Source organism: Homo sapiens, chromosome 14 (genome assembly GCF_000001405.40).
Source record: "Homo sapiens chromosome 14, GRCh38.p14 Primary Assembly".
In the NCBI taxonomy this organism is placed as follows: domain Eukaryota; kingdom Metazoa; phylum Chordata; class Mammalia; order Primates; family Hominidae; genus Homo; species Homo sapiens.
In genome coordinates, this window is record NC_000014.9 from 89,577,923 (window position 1) to 89,605,515 (window position 27,593).

Sequence of the window (27,593 nt, forward strand, 5' to 3'; positions counted from 1 at the left end):
CCTATGACAGCAGGTTACTCAGGCAAATTAAATCATGTGAACTTCCAGTGGAAAAAGAGAAATCTTCCCTTGGTGGATTTGCAACCTAGCAAATGCATGCTTTCGAAGAGAGGTGACCAACCCACAGCTCTTCAGGGCTCTATATTTCAACCTTGAAAGACATATGAAAGGGAAAAAATGCCATGGCAATTTGAATTTATGCTGGGATGAAAGGTAATATAATATCCTTTGAAAGACCTAAAATGGATGAATGATACTTTTCCATTAAAGAAGAAACTAACTCTCTTTGAATGTCTACAGTGTGTCCAGCCCTGTGGTTTTGCAACACCAGATGCCCACTTCTCTTTCAGCAACTTCAATGAGAGTTCCTTCTCAGTGATTTTTGCTAGCTAATCTTTTTTCATCTGATCTTGACATTTTAGTGCTCAGGACTCTGTCCAGGCACTTCTGTCTCTTCTACCCCCTCTCTCTGGATGATCTTACCCAACCTTCTAGCTACAGACACCGCGTACATGCTAATAACTCAAATTCCATGACTCTCCCCCTGAGCTCCAGATGGGTACAGCCAGCAGCACTCCCTGACACGTGCAACAGGCATCTCAAACTTAGGCTGACCGACACAGAACTCTTGTTCTCCACTTCCCCACCCCAAATGTGTTCACTCCAAGTCTTTCCAATCTCAAGAAATGATACCACCTTCCAAAATTCTAAAATAATCCTCCATTCCTCCCTTTCTCTCACCCTCCCCTTCTAATCCGTCAGCAAGCCCTGTTGCCTCTGCTTCCAAACACAATCCTGAACTGCTCTTTTTTTGCCGTTCCACTTCCTCACTCTAACCAAAGCCCCCTTCTTCTCTCCTAGACACTGTCACTCCTCTTAACTGGTCTCTCTAATTCCATCCTCCACACAGTAGCCAGAATGATTTTTTTGTTTTGTTTTGTTTGAGACAGGGTCTTGCTCCTTCGCCCAGGCAGGAGTGCAGTGGCACTATTACAGCTCACTGCAGCCTCAACCTGCTGGGCCTAAGTGACCCTCTCACCTCAGCCACCTGAGTATCCGGGACTATAGTCACATGCCAACACACCTGTTGAATTTTTTAAATTTTTTTCTAGAGACGAGGTCTCACTATGTTGCTGAGGCCAGTCTCAAACTCTTGGCCTCAAGTGATCCTCCCATCTCGGCCTCCCAAAGTGCTAGGATTACAGGCATGAGCCACCATGCCCAGCCATTTTTTTTTTTTTTTTTTTAGACAAGGTCTCACCCTGTCACCCAGGCTGAAGTACACTGGCATGATCATGGCTCACTGCAGCCTCAAACTCCTGGGCTCAAGGGATCCTCCCACCTCAGCCTCCTGAGTAGCTCGGACCACAAGCACATGCCATCACGCCTGGCTAATTTATTTATGTTTTTTTTTGTAGAGACGGGGTCTCACTATGTTGCCCAGGCTGGCCTCAAACTCCTGGCCTCAAGTGATCCTCCTGCCTCAGTCTCCCAAAGTGCTAGGATTACAGGCATCAGCCACTGTGCCCAGCCAAAATATTCTTTTAAGAATATAAATCCAATTCAGTGACTTCTTCACATAAAATCCTCTAGTAGTTTCCCAATATACGAGCAATAAAATCCACATTTCTCTTGCCCATAAGCCCTGAGGTGATGGGATCCTGCCATTTCATCTCCCAGCCATTCCACAACTCACCAACCTCCAGCCACACAGGTCCTTCTTCCTGTTCCTCAGACATGCAAGCTACTCCCACCTCAGGACCTTGGCATGTACAAGGCTAGCCCCTTCCATGCAGAGAACCCGTATCTGGCCACCCTTACCAAATGGTTCAACTACCATTCTTTGTCATTTTTTTTACCCTGCATGATTATCTCACACCCCATAGTATCTTGTATATTTACTTGTTTAGCTGTTTGTTATTTCCTTGTGTCTTCAATTGAATCATAGAAGGAACCCCGACTCTCTCACTGCTACAGAGTACATACCCAATAACACTTAATAAATACATAAAGGAATAAATATGTATCTCTACAATTTTCTCTAACTTTATGAGATAGATTATTCCTATTCTGAAAAGAAAAAAAAATGAGGTTCCCAGGGTTCAGTGCAAAGTTATATAGAGGTAACTGAAGGCAAAGCCAGAATTTGAACCTGAATCCATTTGACTCCATAACCCATATTTCTAAACACCAGATTGGTATTTCTAGCAGAGTCTAGGAAATCAGTCAAGAGCAGTAATTTTCCTCCTAAGAGTCTCCAGAAATAAGTTGCCCAGGAACTTGTATTCGGCTCTTCCACCACAATTACCTCATCTCTAAAATGGATGAACAAAATGAGTTTCTTACAGACATGTTAGGAGGAATAATTTCCTTCCAGATTACAAGGTGTTCTGTAAACTCTCAGAGGATGGTTTTCCAGGTACCATGCTGAGTAGTTTTAGCCAAAACCTGTTCTGTGCTCGAAGGAAACCACCACCAAGGGCTGTCAGTCAAGCTGGGTAATTGTATAAATACAGTCAAGAGTTAAGGACCACATAACAGTGCCATATATGGACTCCACTTTCTCAAAACCCTTTAAGGGGATACAGTCTCATCCTACTGGAAAATGTTAGGCAAAGGATGGAAATAGTTCGTTTCTAGATGGTCCCCCACCTCTGCCCAACCTCCATCTGTGTAATTCTTTGTACTAACACCTGATCCCCCTCCAGAATTGAGGCAGCTCTCCCTCAAATATGTGTTCCCTAAGGATCTTGACCTGGTTTTATTTCTAGTGGGAATACATTTGCTCCATAATTGATGCAAGTTGAGGGCAAGGGACATGACATTACTTTATTTCTTCTAAATCAAATTAAATCTGGATCCCAAGGCCTCACTTAATGGAAATTTAATTTCAATTATGTTTTTAGGGACCTATTCCCCTTCTGGGGTCAGAGGGACATCTTGGGGGCTTACATGGTACCTAGAGAATAGGGGGAAATGGCCAGGTGTGTTGGCTCATGCCTGTAATCCCAGCACTTTGGGAGGCCGAGGTAGGAGGATCACCTGAGCCAAGAAGTTCAAGACCAGCCTGGGCAACACAGTTAGACCTCATCTCTACAAAAAAAAAAAAATTAGCCAATCGTGGTGGTGTGTGCCTGTAGTCCCAGTTACTTGGGAGGCTGGGGTGGAAGGATCACTTGAGCCTGGAAGGTCGAGGCCACAGTGAGCCATTATCATGCCAATGTACTCCAGCTTGGGTGACAGAGTGAGACCCTGTCTCAGAAACAAAAACAAAAAAGGCTGGGTGCGGTGGCTCACGGCCATAATCCCAACATTTTGGGAGGCTGAGGGGGGAGTATCACCTGAGGTCAGGAGTTTGAGACCAGCCTGGCCAACATAGTGAAACCCCGTCTCTACTACAAATTTCAAAATTTGCTGGCCACGGTGGTGTGTGCCGGTAATCTCACCTACTTGGGAGGTTGAGGCAGGAGAATCACTTGAACCCAGGAGGCAGAGGTTGCAGTGAGCCAAGATCGTGCCATTGCAGTCTAGCTTGGGCGACAAGCAGAAAACTCTGTCTCAAAGAAAAAAAAAAAGAGAAAGATAGAATAGGAAAAAAGCACGTGGTTTAAAGTTCCCTGGGTCACTTGTATGATACGTGTCATCCGACTATTCCCCGGTACCTGCTCTTTTCCCTCAAAACCAAGTGGGACCACAGGAGTGCTTGACTGTGGCTCCCAGGGCCATGGTGTTTGATGTTAAGTCCTTCCAGCATCCACATGCTAAGCTATCCCAGAGTTTGGCACATTCTCTTATACCACAGGACAGTGGACATGGGTCTCTTCTACTTCAGGGATTCCCTCTCCTAGAGTCAGAGAAGCCTAGCAGCCCCGCACAATCCCCCATCATTCACACTGAGCCATTTTTGTATTCTCAATTCCTAGCATCTGCCTTCCTCACATCCTTGACTTTTATCCAGTTTCCTAAAAAAGTCTGAGTTGGGGTTGACTTCTAGGTATCTGGAAACCCAACATTTAGCCCCAGGACAAAAAGTTGTAACAACTCTCCGAGGCAAGGGAGACCAGATTCAGAGTACAAACATTTCACTGTTTTATTGGGAAGGAAGGAAGAAAATTTTTTCAGGTCTTCTGCAGCAGTGAGAATAAACACACTAATGTGTCCACCAAGTGTCATGCCACATGTTCCCCACGTTCTCCTCTAATAATCTTACTAAATCTTCTGGCTCCAACAGTCCCCCGTCTGTGGGAAGCATGTAAATCATTATGTCCATCCTTGTTCTCTTCCCAAGTATGTCTTGGTATTTTCAGCTGCCCGCTCCTCATCTCTACCAGGTAACACATCAGACGCCCCAAACTCATGTCCAAAATGAAACTCATCACTTACTTCCCAGTCCCTTCTCCAAGGTTCTCTATTTATATTAATAGCCATGCATAGTGTTCAGCACATAATCAGCACGCAATAAATATTTTTTAAATTAGTGTTTGAATAGAGGAATAGCCAACTGAAGAATATAAATACCTTAGCCTAAGCGTGAAGAGCCTAGGTGAGTTGACTTTAAACTCACCTTTTTTTTTTTTTTTTTTTTGAGACGGAGTCTCGCTCTGTCACCCAGGCTGGAGTGTAGTGGCGCAATCTCAGGTCACTGCAAGCTCCACCTCCCGGGTTCATGCCATTCTCCTGCCTCAGCCTCCCGAGTAGCAAACTCACCTTTTTAAAACAGCTTTATTGGGATATTATTCACACATTTAAAGAATGCAATTTGATAGGTTTTAACATATATATACACCTGTGAAACCATCACCATGATCATCATCTCCAAAAGTTCCCTCTTGCTCCTTTTAATCCTTCTCCCAGCCATCTCCCCTGCCATCTCAAATCACTTATATGCTTTCTGTCCTTATAGATGAGTCTGCATTTTCTATAACTGTATACATATGTAATCATACAATATATATGCTCTTTTCTGGTAGGGTTTCTTTTACTTAATACAATTATTTTGAGATTCTTCCATAATGTCATGTGTATCAATAGTTTATTTTTATTGCTGAATAGTGTTCCATTGTATAGATATACCACCATTTGATTTCTCATTGGCCTGTTGATGGCATTTCCAGTTTGGTGTTATTGTAAATAAAGCTGCTATGAAGATTACATACAAGTCTTTGTGTGAATGTACGCTTTCATTTCTCTTAGACTGGCATTCTCTTAGACTCATTGACTGTAATGAGTAGATCATATGGTAGATATACGTTTACCTTTTTAAGAAATTGCTTAACTGTTTTCAAAGTGATTGCTATGGCTTGAATGTTTTTGCCCCTCAAAATTCATTTATTAGAAACTCATCCCCAATGCAGCATTGTTGAGAGGTGAGGCATCTGGGCAGGTGCTCAGTTCATGAGGTCTCTGCCCTCATAGATGGATTAATGCCGCTATAGAGGGGCTTTCAGGAGTAGGTTCTCTCTCTCCTGCTCTTTTGCCGTACAAGGACACAGCATTCATCCCATTTTGCGCTTCCGCCTTCTGCCATGGAAGGATGCTGCAAGAAGGCCCTCACCAGACCCAATGCTGGCATTTTGATCTTAAGACTTTCCAGCCGCCAGAACTGTGAATTTGTGTGTTCTCTCTCTCTCTCTTCCTGTTTTTATTTTTGTTTTTTGAAATGGAGTCTCACTCTGTTGCCCAGGGTGGAGTGCAGTGGCACCATCTCATCTCACTACAACCTCTGCCTCCTAGGCTTAAGCAATTCTCCTTCTCAGCTTCCTGAGTAGCTGGGATTACAGGCGTGTGCCACCACATCTGGCTAATTTTTGTATTTTTAGTAGAGGCAGGGTTTCACCATGTTGGCCAGGCTGGTCTTAAACTCCTGGCCTCAAGTGATCCGCCCACCTCGGCCTCCCAAAGTGCTGGGATTATAGGTGTCAGATACCGCACCCAGCCTATTTATTTATTTTTTAGATGGAGTCTTGCTCTGTCACCCAGGTTGGAGTGCAGTGGTGTGATCTCGACTCACTGCAACCTCCGCCTCCCGGGTTCAAGCAATTCTCCTGCCTCAACCTCCCGAGTAGCTGGGGCTACAGGCATGTGCCACCACCACACCCAGCTAATTTTTGTATTTTCAGTAGAGATGGGGTTTCACCATGTTGGCCAGGCTGGTCTTGAACTCTTTACTCAAGGAATCTGCCTGCCTCGGCCTCTCAAAGTGCTGGGATTACAGGTATGAGCCACCACACCTGGCCCTAACACTAGGTAATTTATAAAGAACAGAGGCCGGCCAAGACCAGCCTGGCCAACATGGTGAAACCCCATCTTTACTAAAAATATTTTAAAAATTAGCCAGGCATGGTGGTGTGTGCCTATAGCCCCAGCTACTCAGGAAGCTGAGGCAGGAGAATCTTTTGAGCCTGGGAGGCGGAGGTTGCAGTGAACCGATATCGCACCACTGTACGCCAGCCTGGGCGACCCAGGGAAACTCCATCTTGATAAATAAATAATAAATAAATAACCTAGTGTCAGGTATTCTGTTATAGCAGCACAAAACGTACAATGACTGTGGTTACCCAATTTCACATTCCCACCAGCAGAGTATGAGAGTTTCCGTTTCTTTACATTCTCATCAACATTTAGTATAACTGGTCTTTTTAATTTTATACTAGGTGGTGCAGTATCAAAATATGAATTTAATTTCATTTCCCTAAAGATTTATAATATGAATATATTTTCAGGTACTTATTTGTCATCCATATATCTCTTTGGTAAAGTGTCTTTTCTCTTCTTTTCTTCTCTTCTCTTTTCTTTTCTTTTTTCTTTTTTGACAGAGTCTCACTCTGTCGCCCAGGCTGGAGAGCAAAGGCACAATTTTGGCTCACTGCAAACTCTGCCTCCCGGGTTCAAACAATTCTTCCACCTCAGCCTCCTGAGTAGCTGGGATTACAGGCACCTGCCATCATGTCCGGCTAATTTCTGTATTTTTGTAGAGATGGATGGGGTTTTACCGTGTTGGCCAGGCTGGTCTTGAACTCCTGACCTCAGGTGATCCGCCCGCCTCAGCCTCCCGAAGTGCTGGGATTACAGGCGTGAGCCACCGTGCCCGGCAAGTGTCTCTTTTCAAATTGTCCATTTTTTATTGGCCAATCTCACTTTTCAACCTTATTTTTTCCAGTATTCCTCTTTGTGTACCATTCAGTCTAATCAAACGCAATGTATAAGCCCCTAGACCCACACACCTCACACTTTCCTCTATAATTTTGCTGATGCTGTTTCCTTCGCTTTAAATAACTTAATGCCTTCTTCACCTATATTTTTGCCAATTCGAATTCTATTGATCCTTCAAGTCCCAGAAGAGATGCTACATTCATTCTCAATCCTTTCCTGAGCCCAGTTTGAGAGTAATGGTTTCCTCATCCAAGCTGCCAGAAATGTCTTTTTCTTCTGCCATTTCTAACTTTCTACCTTGATTTCTACTTATTTGTTGTTGTTTTTAATAAGAAAAGTAAATGTGTTTAAGTCATGTCTGCTTTATCATATGTATGCTAGAGAAATTCATTCCCCCCAGATCTTTGAGGTTTACTTTACCCAAATTCATTCATTAAACAAATATTCCCTGAGCATCTACTATGGGCCAGGCATTACTGGAGGCCCTTGGGATACATCCATGAGCAAAACAGAGACTAAAAAAGCTCCCTGCCCTGGCAGAGTTGACATTCTAGCAGAAGGAGATGGATAATAATAAAGAAATAATAGGCCGGTCTGAGTACAGTGGTATTTACAACTAACTGATCACAAAAACTAATAGATTTATTTGTTCCTTCTCCACTCCCACTGCTTCACTTGACTAGAAAAAAAAAAAAAAAGAAAGGAAGGAAGAAAGAAAGAAAGAAAAATAATAGACACAACAAATAGTAAATTACATAGTATGCTGAAAGATGAAGAGCGTTTGGCAAAAAGAAAAGGTAGGGCAGGATGAAGGAGATTAGGGATGCTAGAGATTGCAGGGTTGGGGCAGGTGACAATTTAAATAGGGTAGTCAGGGTAGGTTTACATGGGAAGTAACATTCAAGCGAAAGCTTGAGTGAGATGGGATCGTAGCCCATCTCACTACGTATGTATGTGAAGTAGTATGTGGGGCTACTTCCTCACATAATCTTCCTATATTCTATAGACTACAGGTCTTGAGGTGGAATCTCTATCCGATTCAGCTTGGTATCTTCCCTCTCAAATTACCCAGCACCAATGCCTGGCCTGGCATACCGGATCAAAAGTATTTGCTGAATGAATGATAGAATAAATGAATGCATGGACAGGCTTCAAATCTGCTGGGAAAATATCCAAAAATGTGAAATAAAATGAAAGCAGGATGTAAGAAAAGAGAAGAGAAAGGTTAATACAAGAGACAAGATGCCAAAAGCTGAGGCTAAAAAGGAAAAATAAAGAAAAAGCTACAAAAGCACTTCTCACAGTAGAAACCTTGTCAGGGACTCTGTGGAGGTTTTAGGTTCCTGATCACAAAACCAGCATCAGAAGCTGATGCGGTCTCCTGTGCTTACCACAGATTAGTGTGAGGTTCGTGAAGATGTCATACTGTCTCCAGAAATAAGCTATTCAACTGCTCAATTCCAACTACTATCCCTGATCATGACTCAAAAAGTGTATGTTATCTGAAGTAGATTGATGAAAAGGTATGCTGTTTTTTTGTTTGCTTATGCCTCTATCTTAGAAAATATTTAAGATGGCTTACCCCAGTGCAGGGGATGCGGGCAGGTAGATTTAAACTAAACAGGCTCGCCAAATGCTCTCCCTGACAAACCTCAGATTCTGGTATTCCCTCCCACCATTTCACTAGTGTGCCTCTACTACTGGTGATGTGTACCCATCAGGATTCATTTGCTGAAAGACCCAGATTTGATTGTAAGCTTTTCCTATCAATGCAAAAAGGGAAACATTTCCAATCACATGACTCAGTATCCATAATATAAAAGCAAATCAACTGTTGTCCTTGAAGGTCTCTATGAAGAGCTCACTGTATGTACTAGGCAGTGTACTTAAGAGAAACAGAACCAGCAGATGTACAGACATTTATAGAGATCTCTTTTAAAGAACTGGCTTGCACAATTACAGGGGCTGGTGACTCCAAAGGGTACATTGGCAGGCTGGAGACCCAGGGAAGAGCTGATGTTGCAGTTCAAGTCCAGAGGCCGTGTGAAGGCAAAATTTCCTTTTTCTTGTGAAGGCAAAATTTCCTCTTTTTCGGGGGAACCCCGGTCTTTTTCTCTTGGGGTCTTCGACTGATTAGGTGAGGCCCACCCACATTATGGGGGGTAATCCGCTTTATTCAACGACTGCCAATTTAAATGTTAATCTCTTCTAGAAAATCCCTTCACAGCAACATCTAGACTGGTGTTTGACCAAATACCTGGGTATTGTGGCCTAGCCAAGTTAATACATAAAATTACACTGTCTAAAGCAGGATTTGCAAATTCAAATGCCCACAGGAGCCAGGCAGACAAAGAAACTGAGCGAAGCCAGTGTCAGATGATAGAGAACGATAAGGACTGGGGTCATCTAGAGGGTGTATGCCTCATGTAAAGGCAACGAAATTGAAAAAAAATTTAAACCACTGTGTGGGAGAAGCAACATTTATCTCCGGGGAAAAAAGCTCAGGCATCAGGCCGGGCACAGTGGCTCATGCCTGTAATCCAAGCACTTTGGGAGGCAGAGGCGGGCAGATCACTTGAGGTCAGCAGTTTGAGACCAGCCTGGACGATATGGGGAAACCTCGTCTCTACTAAAATACAAAAATTAGCCAGGTGTGGTGGCATGTGCCTGTAATCCCAGCTTTCAGGAGGCTGAGGCAGGAAAACTGCTTGAACCTGGTAGGCAGAGGTTGCAGTGAGCTGAGACCACACCACTGCACTCCAGCCTGGGTGAAAGAGTAAGACTCTGTCTCAGAAAAAAAAAAAAAAAAAAAAAAGCCCAGGAATCATAATTTTGGGTAAATTAACAGATAGAGCAATGGGCATATGGGGGCTTTTTTGTTTTAGCATCTGATATAGTTTGGATCTGTGTCCCCTCTAAATCTCATGTCAAATTGTAATCCCCAGTGTTGGAGATGGAGCCTGGTGGGAGGTGACTGGATCATGGGGATGGATTTCTCATGAAAGGTTTAGCACCATCCTCTTGGTGCAATCTTCACAATAGTGACTTCTCGCAAGACCTGGTCATTTGTAAGTGTGTGGCACCTCCTCCCTCTCTCTCTTGCTCCTGCTCAGGCCATGTGACATGCCTGCTCCCCCTTTGCCTTCTGCCATGACTGTACATTTCCTGAAGCCTCCCCAGAAACCAAGCAGACGCCAGCATCATGCTTCCTGTACAGCCTACAGAACCGTGAGCCAATTAAACTTCTTTTCTTATAAATTACCCGGTCTCAGGTATTTATAGCAATGCAAGAATCACCTAATATAGGACAAAAAAAGCCCAGGAATCGTGACTTGGGTAAAGTAAAAATTCAGCAATGGGTGTTTGTCAGCTTTTCTGTTTCAGCATCCAGCAACTTAACAACCATCAACACCGCCCGATAGCACCAAGATAAAGGACAATTCAGGGAGTGCTCTAGGCTAACATCATGTTACGTAGAGAGCTCACTAATGGCCAGGTTAAATTCAGGAACAGGTCAGACAACCAGCAATCCTCCACAGATATCACCATGCCCAACCAAATACTGGAAAGGTGTTGGGTAGCAGTATATTTGTGGTTAAACTCCTGGTCAGTACCTGGATGGTAGCTCTCCTATATAGCTAGTTAAGTATGAAGATATGTGATTTAAGACATAGCAGGGGTAGGGCTGCTGTCTTCATGAAGAAGGATTTGGCAAAGATGGAAACCCAAGGCGTTAGATACCCAGGGGCAAAGCCAACGCTCCTCTGAAAAACAATGATTTTGGGACACTTTAATACCCAGACAACTGGGCCATCTAGTTCCCATGACTGAAATACTTCTAGCCTGGAATTTTGTGAAACCTAATCAAACACACATCTTTTAAAGGGTGTACAATGTCTAGCTTCTCACCATGCAACTTCTTAGTGTGCCCTCAAAGATTAACTAGTTGCAAAACATATGCCACAAATCTAGTGACTTGCTGTATGGTATTATTAACTATAAACCAAGTCAAGGTCGGGAAACATCTACCAAAAAAAAATTAAATATTTGAACTGCAGTCATTTTTTTTTCTGATAATAATTAACCAGCACAGCTGTTTACCATGTGCACTCCCAGATCATGAGACCAAAACACTCTTGCCCTTGTATGAGATGATGTGTTTTCCTAATATCTAGAAAAGACACACCCTTCTCTCCAGACCACTACCCAGACTTACAAAAGCATTTCAGATTTACCTACAGGTGTGAGTCACTTAAAAACACAATAAACTTGTCAGAACCTTTAATAACTTCCACAAAATCAAATCATTGATAAAAGTCAAATCAGTCTCATTTTGAAAAATCTCAAGATGGCAGAAGGCACCACCAGTTCCTTGAGCCTGGTCGTGGTAGTCCTCACAATTTGAGAATCCCACAGCCCATGCCAGGCCTCAGAAACATTTCCTATTCCCTGCTTCGACTGCATAAGGGGAAGAAGAAGAAAAAGCACACCCAGCCGAGGTCTATAGGCGAACAGTTGCGGCCGCACCATGCAGCATGAATCTGAAATGCTGTGAAGGCAGCCCAGGACTGGAAGTTGGATGCTTTCTACCCTGAAACCACCTAGCAACAGTCAAGATGCAGCTTCTTAAAATCAGCCATGAGAATGAATTGGGGGCGGGGGGGCGGGGGGTGCCTATTCCTAGTGATTTTTATTTTCCATAATAAGCAAATTCTGAGAAGGGCTGTGTGGTTGTATTCACATCACAAAGCTCCAAAGGCTATTTTAAGAGCACCCTGTTTCTGCTTAGGAGAGGAAGAGAAACTCAGCCCCTTCAGGCACCTCAGAGCTGTCCCAACTTCCCCTCCTGACTCCTCCTTTCTGAACAGTTTGGAAACAAGGCAGCTTGGCCAAAGAGGGCAGCAGTGCTTGGCACAGGGGAGGGACTGATGCCGGGCAGGCCCCAGGTTTCCTGGGCATCTAAGCAGCCGAAAGGAGAAGGAACCTACTAAGAGTTGGATATGGCACCAAGTCGATGTTACCATTTGAATCTACCCACCTGCCAATGACACACAATAGAGAACATTTTTTTTTTAAGCTCAAAAATGGAAAAAGGGCAGAGTATTTCAATGATTATGGAGATGGGCAAACCAATCAATGAATGATTCTTAAGCCTTCATGTTTGCCCTGTAAGCAAACTGAAGACGTGCAAGTCATCCTTTTGGCCCTGGGAGAGTTAACGTTAACCCACAGGGACAATGAGAAAGGGAGAGGAGACCCAGCAGATGAGAAAGATGGAGTAATTTCTGGAAGACTGAGGGTATATGGAAGAGTGACAGATGAACTCAGGCAGAAGGAGGAAAGCTGACACTCAAAAATTCCGGCAGAGGGGAGAACGGAGCAGAATCAAATGCATTCACCCCACTGAATCCTAAGAAGGCTCAGGAATCAGAGGCATCAGATACGGAGAAAGTGGGGATGACGTGTGGGAATTTAGTTAGACTAGTTGGGGCTCAGGAAACAATACAACAAAGTGGATGCTTCAGAAGTAGCCCCAGAAGCAAAGTCCCTCTCTGACTTTCTCCTGCTCTCCTGTCTCTCACCCCCTCATTTGCCCTCGAGGCAAGCCATAGAAACTAGAATTCCTCTTCCCCAAAGAAGGACATAGAAACCAGAACCCCTCTCCCCGAGAGTCAGCCGTAAAACCTAGAAATACATCTCTAACCTTCCCCTCCATCCCCACCTTTCTGTGCAAGAAATTCTCTGATTTACCTTGTCTGATAGTAGGTCATAAGACCCTCATTCCAGGGGAGGTCTACCCCCTACCTGGAGTGAAAGAATGCCACTCAGAGAGGCCAGGAAGAATCTGAACGGTCAGGCCTTGCTGGGGTCATTCTCTCCTTGTCCAATCACCGCTCTACACAACTATCCATTATGCATCAAACCTAAGCATAAAAATGGATAGCTTTCTCTGTATCTTTAGGTCTTCATTCCAAAGGCTCTTGTGTCACATAAGGCTATGATTAACTAAATTTGATATGGCTTACTCTTGTTAATCTGTCTTTTGGTATAGGAGTGTCGGCTGTGACCTTTACGACAGGCAGAAAAGGGATCGCCTTATTTCCAGCCTACAGAATCCACACTGAAAAGTTTGATCTTCATATTCTCAACCCTGGGAGCCACAGCTTGGAAGGGAGAAGAGATGAGACATCAGACTGAAAAGCAGAAGGCAAAAGCTAAACTTCGTGCACTGAATGGTAAGAGCCCGTGACCCTTGCCCACCTGGCTCCCAGAATGCCAGCACCCAGGTTTACATCCCCTACACAGGAGATTAGGAGATTCTTCTCTGAGAAGGAATGGCCCCAGAGGAAAACCTCCGGAGAGATACTGATATTTGAGGAACTGGCTCAAACATCCGACCACTCCACAGGGAAGCTCCCCAGTCCATGAGCAGCGCTACTCAGGCACACAGTATCCAATAAGCTCTTCTGAACCTTGTAAGATTCATTTCAATATGAAAACGAAATTCAGGCATCACCAGGAATTTAAGGAACATCTACACTGTGAAAGTCAGACATCTAAACAAACAGGAAAGGTGTGGTAGCTCCCACCTGTAATCCAAGAACTTTGGGGGGTTGAAGCAGGAGGATCGCTTAAGCCCAGGAGTTCAACGCCGGCCTGGGCAACATACGGAGACACCATCTCTACAAAAAATTTTAAAATGAACCAGGAGTGGTGGCACATGCCCGTAGTTCTAGCTACCAAGGAGACTGAGGCAAGAGGGTCACCTGAGCCCAGGAATTTGGGGTTATACTGAGCTATGATCATACCACTGTACTCCAGCCGGGGTGACAGAGAGAAAAAAACATTAAAAGTGAAATGAAAAGCCAGTAAGAAAAACAAGAAACTCAAAGGAAACAGAGATAACACAGGAAACAGAAGAAAATGCCCAAAACTCTAATTAATGTTCTAAGAGAAGAGAAGGCATTGCTTATGTTAAAAGAACAAGAAACATTTAGGAAAAACTTAAAAGGTCTTGGAAATAAAACATATGAAGGAAAAAGAATTCCATAGATGATTTGAAATTAAAGTGATGGAAATTATCCAGAAAGTAAGGCAATAAGACAAAAAGATGATTAAGAAAAGAAAAATAAATAAGCAAACAGAAGGATCACCCCAATGTTCAACTAATAGAGTTTCTAAGTATTGAGAGATAATTTTTTGGGGGGAGAAGGGTTTAAAACAAATTAATACAAAAACAAGCAAATAAGCAAAACCACAAAATCCACAAGAACCTTCCCTAGAACAGGAGCATAAGTCTTCCAGTTGAAAGATCTGTTTAAATGTACAGCAGAATGACTTATAAAGACACAACAAGGCTGTAGTATCATGAAATCTCACACCGGGGATAAAATTAAAATTCTAAAAGCTTCCAGAGGAAAAAAAATCTGTTCACATAGAAAAGATGAACCATCAAAATGGTAGATGGACTTCTCAACAACAATAGAAACTAGACGTTCATTGAGTATTGCCTTTGAAATACTGAGGAAAACTTATTTTCAACCTATAATTATATACCTAACCAAACGACTGACCAAGAGAGGGGATAGATTAGAGATACTTTCAGAGATGAAGTTCTTGGAAAATTCACCTCCTGTGCTCACTTAGTAAACAATTAGAGAATGTGCTCTAACAAAACACCAAATGTAGCAAACCAAAAGAGAAGAGAACATGGGATCCAGGAAATGAGAACAATATAGGAGACAGGTGAAAAATAAGTCCCTGCACAAAAGCTGGGCCAAAACAGGCTTATAGAGCAACCAGGCCAAATTAGAACAGGAAAATCAAAGTGGAAGGCGTGCATTATTTGCCAAGTTTGAGCAACAACAAAATCAAATTGAAAGTCCGCTGGAAGGCATGGGATGAACAGGTAGGAAGGAAGGAGTGAGGAAGACAGGGAGGCAGGAAGGAGGGAAAGAGGGAGGGAGGGAGGGAGGAGGAAGGAAACAAGGAGGGAGGGAGGGAATGAGGGAAGGAGGAGGAAGGAAAGAAAGGAGAGAGAGAGAAAGGAAGGAGGGAAGGAGGGAGGGAGGGAGGAGGAAAGAAAGCAGAGAAGGAAGGAGGGAGGAAGGAAGGAGGGAAGGCAGGAGAGAGGGAGAAGGAAGGGAGGAAGAGGGAGAAAGGAGGGAGGGAGGGAAGGAAGGAGGAAGGAGAAGTATGTTTAGAGAGAGAGAATCATATAGAGAGAAAACAAATATATATAAATCAAAAAGAGATAAGGTTTATTAATAGCAAAAAAAACTAAAAGGGCGTGGTGGCTCATGCCTGTAACCCCAGCGCTTTGGAAGGCCAAGGCGGGTAGATCACCTAAAGTCAGGAGTTCGAGACCAGCCTGGCCAACAGGCAAAACCCCGTCTCTACTAAAAAAATACAAAAATCATTGGTCTCACTGATGAATAGTGTTCACATTATATAAACAGAATGTCAATTCAAGGGAAAAGAAGGGGTAAGGTCTATATTCTCATCACAATAAGTCTATGCATAATTTTAAATTGATTAAAAGTGAAGAAAATGATCTTAGAGGGTTTTTTAAATATAATTTTTTAAATGTTTACACTGTGAAATATCACACAGAGGAGTGCACAAAACCCAGCTCACTACAGGCTCAACCTCAGCCTCTCTAGTAGCTGGGACTACAGGTGCAGGCCACACTCCCAGCTAATTATTTTATTTTTTGTAGAGATGGGGTTTCCATGTTGCCCAGGTTGGTCTCAAACTCCTGGGTTCAAGTGATCTGCCCACCTTGGCCTCCCAAAATGCTGGGATTAAAGGTGTGAGCCACTGCACTGGGCAGCTATAGTTTCATCACGTCTATTTTTTGAGCTTTATATAAACGGAATTCAGATGTGTATGGTGAGGACTTCTTTCACACATTAATGTCAATGAGACTCATCCAGGTTGTGTAGCTATAGTTTGTTTTTATCGGTATGTCACTTTTCACATATACCATAAAGTATTTGTGTGTGTGCACACAAGTATGCACATTATATTATACTCTTGATGGACACTGGGTGGATTCCAGTTTTGAGCTTTTATCAATAATGCTGCTATGAACATTTCTATCCATAATTTTGGGTACATATGTATTCACTTTTCCATTGTGCCTGTACATCAGGATAGAACTACTGACTTACAGAATACGCATATGTTCATCTTTTATTAGGTAATGCTGATTAGTTTTCCAAAGTGGTTGTACCAATTTACACTCTCACCACCAGTGTATGAGAATTCTCATTTCTACAAATCCTCACCAACTCTTGGTACTGTAAGTAATTTTCAACTGTAGGCATTGTGGTGGACATGGAGTCACATTTCACGTGGTTTCTAATTTATATTTCCCTGAAGACTTATGAAGTTGAACAACTTTTCACATGTTTATTCAACATTTGAATATCCTCTTTGGTGAAGTCCCTATTTAAGACTCTTGTCCATTTTTCTACGGGGCTATTTTGTTTTTCTTGAATTGATTTGTAGGAATTCTTTGCATATCCTTCATATAAGCCTTTTGTAAATTATAGACGTTGTAAATATCTCTTAAGTTGCCTTTCATTCTCTATATCTTTTGATGAACAAAAGCTCATTTTAGTATAGTCCAATTTTATCTGCCTTCTCCTTTATAATTGGTTCTTTTGGGTCCTGGCGCACACCTGTAATCCCAGCTACTTGGGAGGCTGGAGCAGGAGAATCACCTGAATCCGGGAGGCAGAGGCTGCAGTGAGTCGAGATCCAGCCTAGGCAACAAAGTGAGACTCTGTGTCAAAAAAAAAAGTACCTTTTCTACTCTTGGCATTTTGTGTTTCCACATAAATTTTAGAATTGGCTTCTCAATTTTCACAAAACCCTCAGGATTCTGATTGGGATTACACTGACTCTATACATCACTTTGAGATGAACTGACATCTTTTAAAAAGTAAGTCTTCCGGCCAGGCGCAGTGGCTCACGCCTGTAATCCCAGCACTTTGGGAGGCCGAGGCGGGAGGATCACAAGGTCAGGAGATCAAGACCATCCTGGCTAACATGGTGAAACCCCGTCTCTACTAAAAATACAAAAAAAAAAAAAAATTAGCCGGGCACGGTGGCAGTCGCCTGTAGTCCCAGCTACTCAGGAGGCTGAGGCAGGAGAATGGTGTGAACCCGGGAGGCGGAGCTTGCAGTGAGCCGAGATCACGCCACTGCACTCCAGCCTGGGCAATTGAGCGAGATTCCATCTCAAAAAAAAAAAAGAAGTAAGTCTTCCATCTCATAAACAACATATATCCCTCCATTTATTTAGGTCTTTAATTTATCTCAATAGTGTTTCATGGTTTTCAATATAGGGGTCTTGTTAGATTTATTCCTAGATAATTTGATTATTTTTATTCTAATGTAAATTCATGTTCTGATTATTAGTGATAAAGAGAAATACAATTTACTTTTTTCATATTTACTTCATATGCAACAAACCTGCTAAATTCATTTTAGTTCCAACAACTTAACCGAAATTTATTTTGAATTTTCTTTATACTCAGTAATTTAGTCTCCCAATAATTAATAGTTTTATTTATTCCTTTCTAATCCTAATACCTTCATTTCTCTTTCATGTCTCATCACACTAGCTAAGATCTGCTGTGCAATAATGAATAGAAGTGGTGATAGATGGCAGATTTGTTTTTCCTACTCTCAAAGGGAAACTTTCAACATTTCACGCATTAAGTATGTTTTTTACTTTTTAATGATGTAGGCTATTTTTTGTATATATGCTTCTTACAGTAAGAAAACTCCCTTTTTATTAGTTTGCAGAAATCTTTTTTAATCGAGAATAAATGTTAATTACATCACATATATTTTCTACATCTATTGAGATGATCATGATTTTTTCCCTTTATGCTGCTAATATACTAAATAACACTTACTGATTTCAAATATATTACACTAACCTTGCATTTCTAGAAGATAACCAACTTGATCATGATGGAGTAATTTATTGCTAGATTCATACTACTAATATTTTGTTTAGAATTTTATTTATTTATTGAGACAGATATTTTATTGATTGATTGATTGAGACAGAGTCTCACTCTGTCACCCAGGCTGGAGTGCAGTGGCACAATCTCGGCTCACTGCAACCTCCGCCTCCCCGGTTCAAGCCATTCTCCTGCCTCAGCCTCCCAAGTAGCTAGGATTATAGGCACGTGCCACCAAGCCTAGCTCATTTTTGTAGTTTTAGTTGACGGGCATTTCACCATATTGGCCAGGCTGGTCTCGAACTCCTGACCTCAAGTGATCCTCCCACCTCAGCCTCCCAAAGTGCTGGGATTACAGGCGTGAGACACTGTGCCCGGCCTTGTTTAGGATTTTAAAATTTATATTCATGAGTGAAACTGGCCTGGAATGTTCCTTTCTTATAACATTTCAGTCAGGTTTTAGTATCAAAATTCTCCTGGCCTCTTGAAACCAGCTGGGAGTATTCCTTCTTTTTCAATTCTCTAGTGGAGAGTTTGTGGAAAATATGTGTTATTTCTTCCTTAAATATTTGGTGACCTCAACAGTAAAACTATCTGGATCTGAAGTTTTCCTTATGGGAAACTTTGTAATTACATATTCATGAGGAGACATAGAGCAACTCAGCCTGTTATTTTTCTTACAGCAGTTTCAGTAAGTGGCATTTTAAAATTTTTGTCCATTTCCTCTAAAATGTCAAATATATTGCCATAAAGTTTTTCATAATATTCTCTTACTATCTTTTAAAGATAGTTATACCCTTTTTTCATTCCTCATAGTTGTTGTTGGTGCTATTTTTTCTTGATTAGTCTCACCAGGATTCATTGATTTTATTAGTCCTTTGGCTCTGTTGATTCTCCCCCCATTTCATTACCTTTTATCTTGTCTTTATTATCTCCTTTCTTCAACACTGTAAAAAAAATTTAGTTGTTCTTTTCTAACTTCTGGAAATTAATGCTTAGGTTATTTTTAAACCTCTCTTCTTTTCTAATATATGCAAATATAAATAGGCTTTAAATATCCCTCTAAGCATTGCTTTACATGCATTCCACAATTTTTGCTGTCATATTTTCATTGTCATTAATTTCCAAATATTTTCTACTTTCCATTGCCATTTATTCTTTGACTTGTGATTGCTTAACTTCTAAACATATGGGGATTTTTCATTTATATTTTTTGTAATTGATTTCTAGCTTAATGTCACTGTAGTTGGAAAATATACTCTATGATTTCCATCCTATACTCTATGATTTCCATCAATATGTTAAGAGTTGCTTTATGACTCACCAAATAGAGAACACTGGCAAATATTCTATGTGTACTTGAAAGGAATATCTACTCTGTATTTGTTGAGTGCAATGTTTTATAATTAGATGATGTTTGTTAATTAACTTTGTTCAAATTTTCTATATCCTTATTTATTTTGTCTCTAGATTGTACCAATTACTGAGAGGTGTTTTAAAATTTCTAACTATATAGATATCTGTATTTCTCCTTGTAGGTCTTATAATTGTGTGTGTGTGTGAGAGAGAGAGACAGAGAGAGAGCAAGTGAGTGCAGTATAAGTGAATTGAATCTTTCTTATTATGAAATATCTCCCTTATCTCTAACAGTGTTCCTTGCCTTACAGTTATGCGATCTTTCTTTGGGTTAGCTATACAATCTTTCTTTTGCATGGTATATCTTGCTACATTCTTTTGTATCGGGCCCTTCTGTACGTTTATAAGAAAGGTATGTCTCTTTAAAGCATAGTTTTAAAAATCCAATCTGATAATCTTTTGACTTTTAATTTGACTATTTAGTCTATTTATATTTAATATAATGGCTGATATTTGATATAAATCTATTATTCTACTATTTTTTATTTGTCTCACCTACTCTAGGATCCTTTTTCTATTTTTCATCTTTGTTTGAATTTCTTAAGTATTATTATTCTATTTTCCCTCTTTCTTAGCTTGTTATTTATACATTCTGTCATCATTCTTTTAAAGATTATCTAAACTTTAAAACATGCATCCTTAACTTATCAATGACAACACAACTTCGTTATCACTTCCTGTACACTACAAGGAACTTAGAATGATTTAACTTCATTAACTTCTTTGGATTTATGTTCTACTTTTACCATGTATGTTATTCCCTACATATTTTAAACTCCACAAAACATAATAATTATTATTTTATAAAGTCAATATTTATTTATATTTAACCATTGAATTCTTATTTCTATTGCTCTTCACTCCTTACATTTCTGAGCCTTGATCGGGGATAATTTTCCTTCTGTCCCAAGGATACTCTTTACTGAATACTTCCTTTAGTATAGATCTGTTCATGATTTTTAAAATTATTTATTCATTTATTTTTATTTTTTAATGGAGACAAGGTCTCACTATGTTGTCCAGAGTGGTCTCAAACTCCTGGGCTCAAGTGATCCTCTCACGTCAGCCTCCCAACATGCTGGGATTACAGGCATGAGCCGCCATGCTCAGCCTCATGATAAGTTTTTAATATCTTTAACTCTTCTTCATTTTTGAAAAATCTGGTAGATAGAATTTATAGTTAATAGTTGTTTTCTTTCAGCAATTTGAAGATAGCATTCCACTTCCTTCTGACATCTATTGTTCCAGTTCAAAAGTCAGTTGTCAGTCTTATTTTTCCTTTAAAGATAAGAGGTACCCACTCCCCAACCATGATGCTTTTCAGCTTTTCTCTTTTTCTTTTATAAATGTTACCATGTTGTCCCTATGTTGTTCTCGTTAGCTTTGTTATCAGAAATTTTACTATGTTGAATCTTTGTACTTATCCTGCTTGGTGCCCTAGGGCTTCTGGATTCTGTGGCTTTGTGTGATTTGTTAGTTTTAGAACTATCTCAGCTATTTTTTTCCAATTATTTTTTATGTCCCACTTTCTCTCTCCTCTCCTGCTGAACCTCCAGTTACACATATATTAGGCCTTTCCACCATATTTAATATGTCTTTCACAATCTGATATTTATTTTCCATCTAAAAGCCTCAAAATGCTTTATTGTTGATATTTTCTTCTGCTTTATCTTCTGGTTCACTAACTCTCTCCTCAATTGCATCTACTCTATTGAACCAATTCATTTGGTTTTTTTAAAGCTTAATTTTTAAAGTACAATTTACACAGCATAAAATTCACCCATTGTAAGTACACATTCAATGGTTTTAGTCATTAATTCATTTATGCAACCATAACCATCACCACAATCCAATCTTACAGCATTTCCATCACCCAAAAAAGTTCACTCATTTAGATTTTAACTGCAGTAATTGTATTTTTCAGTTCCAGAAGGTCCATTTGGTCTTATTTACAATTTTCAGTTCTCTGGCAGAGTTTTCAATCTTATCTTTTAATCCTTGAAACATATTAATCACAGTTATGGTAGGGACCATATTTGATTATCTATTATCTGGATCTCTTGTAGGTATATCCAATTTGTTTATTTTTTATTGTTTTTTTTAATCATATCTGGTCTTCTCATGTGATGTGTCTATTATTTCTACTGACTGACAGATATAGTACATGAAAAACTACAGTGATAACCTGAGTTTCTGGGAAAAGCATCTTCCTCCAAAGAGAATTTTTATTCTGGCTTCAGGCAGACATCTAGGCTAGGGGCACTAATCTGAAATTATTTGAGTTTTGGCTTCACTACCTATGTTTTATTTCTGATTCACCTAGACTCAGGGTTCTCAATGAAAGCCTAGGTTGTTTACTAGGGCTTCTGCCTTTTCACAGGACCTAAATACAATTACCACACCCTCAAGCCCATGAACTTGTTGAAAGCTCTGCTAAGTTTCTTAATCTTTTAGCCTCTACTTTTTGAACTGAAATTTTTCTCAAGAAGATAAAACTCAAAAGCAGAGTTCACCTCTCTGAGTTTTCTACCACTTCTTACTCACCCCACCAACCCAGATCTTGGTTCTGCAATTCCCCATTGCCCTGATGGCTCTCCAATTTTTCCAAACTGACTTTTTTTCTTTTTAATTTTGAGCAGCTTTTCTCAGCAGAAGAGTTAAACAGAACAAACCTGATCTACTATTGCTAAATATATGCACTACCACTGTAAGTTAGGTGACCATAATTTATCAAACCAGGATGTTCTTGAAAATGAAAGTAGACACTACTAGTGATTACAAGGGGGTAGTAAGCATAAAACAAAACTGTCACAAACATGTCAGACTGTATGGTCATCCTAATAATAATGCATGGAGTGAATGAATTCTCTTAACAATCCAGAGGGATCAGAAAGGGCTCATTTCAACACCACATTTCAAAAGAAACAATTGAGACAGATTAATCTGATGCCCCATGGAAATTCCACTGTTGTTTGTAGGGCCCCTTCTAATCTCCTTTAGGGATTTAGCTTTTTCTCCAAATTTTTATTTTGGCAAATAAAATATAAATTTTCTCCAAATTTTTATTTTGCCTAAACAAAAATAAATTAATTTAAAAGTCACATTGGCCACGTCGAAGATATGGAGGTCTGGTCTCTTCCCTTTATGGTGACTGAATTATTTGGTTTTCAGGATAGAAGTAAACCCTTACTCATTGTGGGAAGAGACTACTCAGTGGCTCATTGCATTAACAGAGGAAGTTAACTATTACAGCCTGCCAGTTCCTGGACCCTATATACTATTAATGCCCTTGGCTGAGACTTGGTGCATTTGTGTAGTTTTGGAAACTCCTTCAAGCAAGAGAGAAATTTTTCTGAAAAAATAGAGAAACCTTAGACTTGAAAAGAAAGTGAGTACAATTTGCAAGAAGAGCACTGCACCATATTCCCTTTTCTATTTTATTAGAAATGCTGTATCTTGCTTTCATTTAGCAGAAATTCTATGCCTTATTCCATGAAGCAAACAACATAATAAGTAAAGGGCTTGCTCTGTCTTGGCTTCTGAGAGAGCTAGATTTGCCTCCTGGGTCATCTTCTTAAGTGAACTCCTTTGGGCTGGAGAGCTGTTCTCTGATTAATGCCAGAGCCAAGCCCAGGGAGATGCTCAATCAGATAAAATAGCGTTGATGCCTAATTATAGACTCACCATGTCTTGTATTTTGCAGCCTGACCCTTCCTGGAATTTTGACGATGCTATTCAGGATACCACTTCCTATTCATAATCTGCATATTTAAGATGGCTTGATTCAAAACAATGTTTTGGATACAAACATTCCAACATTTTTCCAAAACACAGGCTTTATCAGCATATAAAGTAATTTGCCACATGCATTGTGTTTGCATCCTAGCAAGTGGATAATAGATTAGAGTTACTAAAACGTCAGTGTGTTTTCCCATCCATAGTACACTGCAAAGGACTCAATGAAAGGAAAACAAAATATGATTCCACAATTTAACTTAGGTCCATATGCCATTGTCATTTAAGACCAAAAACAACAGAAAATAAAAATGAGGCATTGAAAACACTGAACCTAGCAACAAAGCAATTAGTTAAACTCAGGTACAGGGTGATATTGAGGCCAATAACCTAGGGTCTGTTTCAGCTGAGATTATCTATGGCCCTGGGGAATATTCAAGAGCTAAATTCCTCTGCTTGTTGATATGCTCAACACTGGCCTGGAGACAGGTCAGCCTTCTTATGGGAGGCCTAAAACCAAAGGAAAAATGAGTGCAAGGTTTTTTGTTTTTGTTTTTTTTTCCTGCTTCTCCCTTGTTTGTCTACACTCCATCTAATCCTCTCTGGGGCAGGGTCTTATCTCCCTACATCCAGCCCCTCAATAGTACTAGCACTCGTAGACCTCAACAAATATTTCCAGGTAGAGTAAATGAATTTTCACAACAATCCAGATGGAGCAGAAAGGGCTCATTTCAAGATAACATATCAGAAATAACTGAGACAGACTAATCTGATGTCCCATGGATATTCTACTATTGTTTGTAGGGTCCCTTCTAATCCCCTTCAGGGATTTAGCTTTTTCCCCACATTTTTATTTTGGCAACTTTCAAACCTAAAGAAAACCTGAGCCTGGTCAACATGGAGAAAGCCCATCTCCACAAAAAATACAAAAATTAGCTGGGCATGGTGGTGCACACCTGTGGTCCCAGCTATTTGGGAGGCTGAAGTGAGAGAATCACTTAAGCTTGAGAGGTAGAGGTTGCGGTAAGCCGAGATCACACCACTGCACTCCAGCCTGGGTGACAGAGCAAGACTTTGTGTCAAAAAAAAAAACACATGCGAAAGAAAAAGAAGAAAACCTGAAGGAATAATACAATGAGTAAGAGGCAGACCATAAATATGGTCTGCATCCCTAAATATGTCAGCAGGTATCTCCCTAGAACAAGAACATTTTCAGGCATTCAGAGGCTTAATTTTTTTAAAGCACACTGTGCATTCAAAACTGAGTGGTAGGTGACATTTTTTTCTTTTTTTTCTTTTTTTCTTTTGAGATGGAGTCTCGCTCTGTCGCCCAGGCTGGAGTGCAGTGGCGCGATCTCGGCTCACTGCAACCTCCGCCCCCCGAGTTCAAGTGATTCTCCTGCCTCAGCCTCCCGAGTAGCTGGGATTATAGGCACCTGCCACCACACCTGGCTAATTTTTTGTATTTTTAGTAGAGACGGGGTTTCACCATCTTGGCCAGGCTGGTCTTGAACACCTGACCTTGTGATCCACCTGCCTCGGCCTCCCAAAGTGCTGGGATTACAGGTGTGAGCCACTGCGCCTGGCAGGTGACATTTTCAAAAGTCCAGCACAACATTCACACCTCAAGGAATGTATTATACAGTTGGTGACTTAGATTATACAAACATAAAATGATTTGGGGTAATTAAATCCTAAGGTTGATAGTGCTCTTTATAAGTAAAATAAGAGCTCAGAGAAGTGAAAAGTAAGGGTGGAATGAAGTTTCCGAGAGGAAATATGTGGCAGAGATGGACCAGCTGTTCATCAAACCTGTTTCTTCTTCTTCCTGGGCAAACACCTAGACCACCTTCCCAGCAATCCCCCTTGCAGTCAGATGTGGCCACCTTACCAAGTTCTAGCTAATGGAAAGGGAAAAAAAAACAAATTGAGCCACATCTGGGCCTAGCCAATAAAAACCAGCCACTCATGAGCCTCCACATGCTTTTCCTTTTTTGCTATTATGATCCAAATAAGCACTGTGACCTTGGAGCCATGGGTTGAAAATGACAGAGTCCTAAAATGCCAAGTAGTTGGCTTGCTAAAACCTTAAAGAGTGGTATCCACTAATCGGGTCACCCATTTTGGGTATGTAAGAAACAATTTCTATTGTTTTGATTCATGGCACCATTTTGGTTTTGTTAAAGAAGCTAGCATTACCTCAACTAATATGTTGGAACTTAAAATACCCCTGAATACCTGCAGAAGGAAGTGGTAACTTGAAAATAAGGATTATGCTTTTTTCTCTACTGCTTTCTGCACATATGATCTGTACCGTAGTTGGCCAAAGGCATTCATGTGTTTCGGGATATATTAATATTATTAAAGAAGGAACACAAAGAGAAAGCAGGATGTAAGTTTCTTTTCTGGTAGTAATGGCAGAGTAAGTACCTGTCCAATCCTCCAACTGAAAACAACCAAAAATGCTGGACAAAATATTTCCTCAAAAATTGTTTGAAACATATTCATGAGCTCACACAAAAAAATAAGGCACATTCAGAACAGAGGGCTTATATTAGTTTTCACCTTGAAGGCATTTAACAAACTGGGAGAACCTGAGCTTCTGTTTTTACAACTTAGCAAGACACAGGGGAAAGCAGATAAACTTGGTGACATTTACAAAGGCCCACCAAGATAGAGTGTATAATAAGAGGCATCCAGCTACAGAGAGGACTTTAAACTGCCTGTCTCAAAAATAAGTGCTAAGTAGAAAGGGAAAAGTCTTTACTAAAAATGTGTAACCACAAGGTAATCCTCACAGGGGTTTACAGGACAAACTGATTACCTGTTTTGTCCCCAAAACCTCAAGTTGAGAATTTTAAGTCCTTGCTTTGCAGGTTGATAATGATCCTAGGAACCTGACAAAAACAAATGCAAATTCTGGAGAAACTCACTTTCAACTCCAACCCACTGATAAAGAATTCCCACTAATAGAGTTTCCAAAAACAAAGCAAAACAAAACACACACACACACACACACACACACACACACACGTGCGCGCACACACACGCGCGCGCACACACACAGAGAGAGAGAGAGAGAGAAACAAAGCACCATGAACAACAACCAGTGAAAACAATAGAGAGGAGAACCCGGCCAACAAAGACTTCAAACTTTAAAATTAGACACAAAACATAAAATATTGTTTAAATAAATAAAAGGGAACGAGTATATAAGAATCGAGCTAGATCAGATAGATTAGACACAGGAAACCAGAGGGAAAAAACTGAGTAAATTATCTAGACTGCAGCACATAGAAATATAGAAATAGAAAAGATGACAGAGAAGCTAAAACATGGAAAAGACAGAACAAAGGTATAACATATGCTTAATCTCAAACCTGGAATTAGAGAGAAAGAGTACAGAGCAGGAATAGCAGCCTGAGAATCTTCCAGTTCTGATGAGAAAGCCAATCCACAAAATTATAAAGCCCCAAACCCCCAAACAAAATAAACACATACAAATAAGTTGACATCTGAACACTTTATGATAAAATTGCCAAACACCAAAAACAAAGAAAATATCTTAAAAAACAGTCGTAAAGTACTCTTGGAGAAAGAATACCTTCAACACAAATGGCAATGAGACTTAGCATTGATTTATCAGCAGTGGAAGTCAGAAAACAATTGAGCATCTTTAATATGCTGAGAGAAAATAACCATAACTTTATACCTGGCAAAAATATATTGTATACCTAGCAAGATTCCATTTTAAGAACAAGGGGGAAATGGACATTTTTCCAGTGAACAATAGCTTAAAGAGTTTTCCATCGATTTATCCTCACTAAATGAAACCTAAGAGAAGTGATGAAGGGGGTGGGTTGGGGGAAGGAATTATAAGCAAAAAATGTAGTAAACACATGGGTAAATCTTAACAAACATTTCTGGTTTAAAATGATAATATGTAATCTGTGAGATTAAAAAAAAACACAAAAAAAACAAGATAAAACTAAAACACTGGGCAAAAACGAAACCTAAATTGGTAGAGCAGTGATTGGAGTTAAGTGGTCTAAGGTCCTTGCATTGTTTGAGAGGAGAGGAAAGATGCTAATTGGCTTTAGGCTTTGATAAGTATGCATGTTAAAATTTCTAAAGAACCACTAGAAAAGGATCTAGAAATAAAATATCTAGAGGACCACTAAATGAATCATATAGAGAATAAAACTTCCAAACTACTATAGAATACATAAAATAAGACAAAAGAATTCAAAAGAAAGCAAGAAATAAAGAAAAAGAAATATGGAAGAGGCAGGAAAAATGGAAAAAAAT

At 40.4% G+C, this 27,593-nt stretch overlaps 1 protein-coding gene across 1 annotated transcript in view; it reads right to left on the reverse strand.

The window, feature by feature from the left end:
- Positions 1–27,593, reverse strand: part of FOXN3 (forkhead box N3) — a 462,989-nt gene that overhangs the window by 421,746 nt on the left and 13,650 nt on the right. The gene's annotated exons all lie outside the window — the stretch shown is intronic.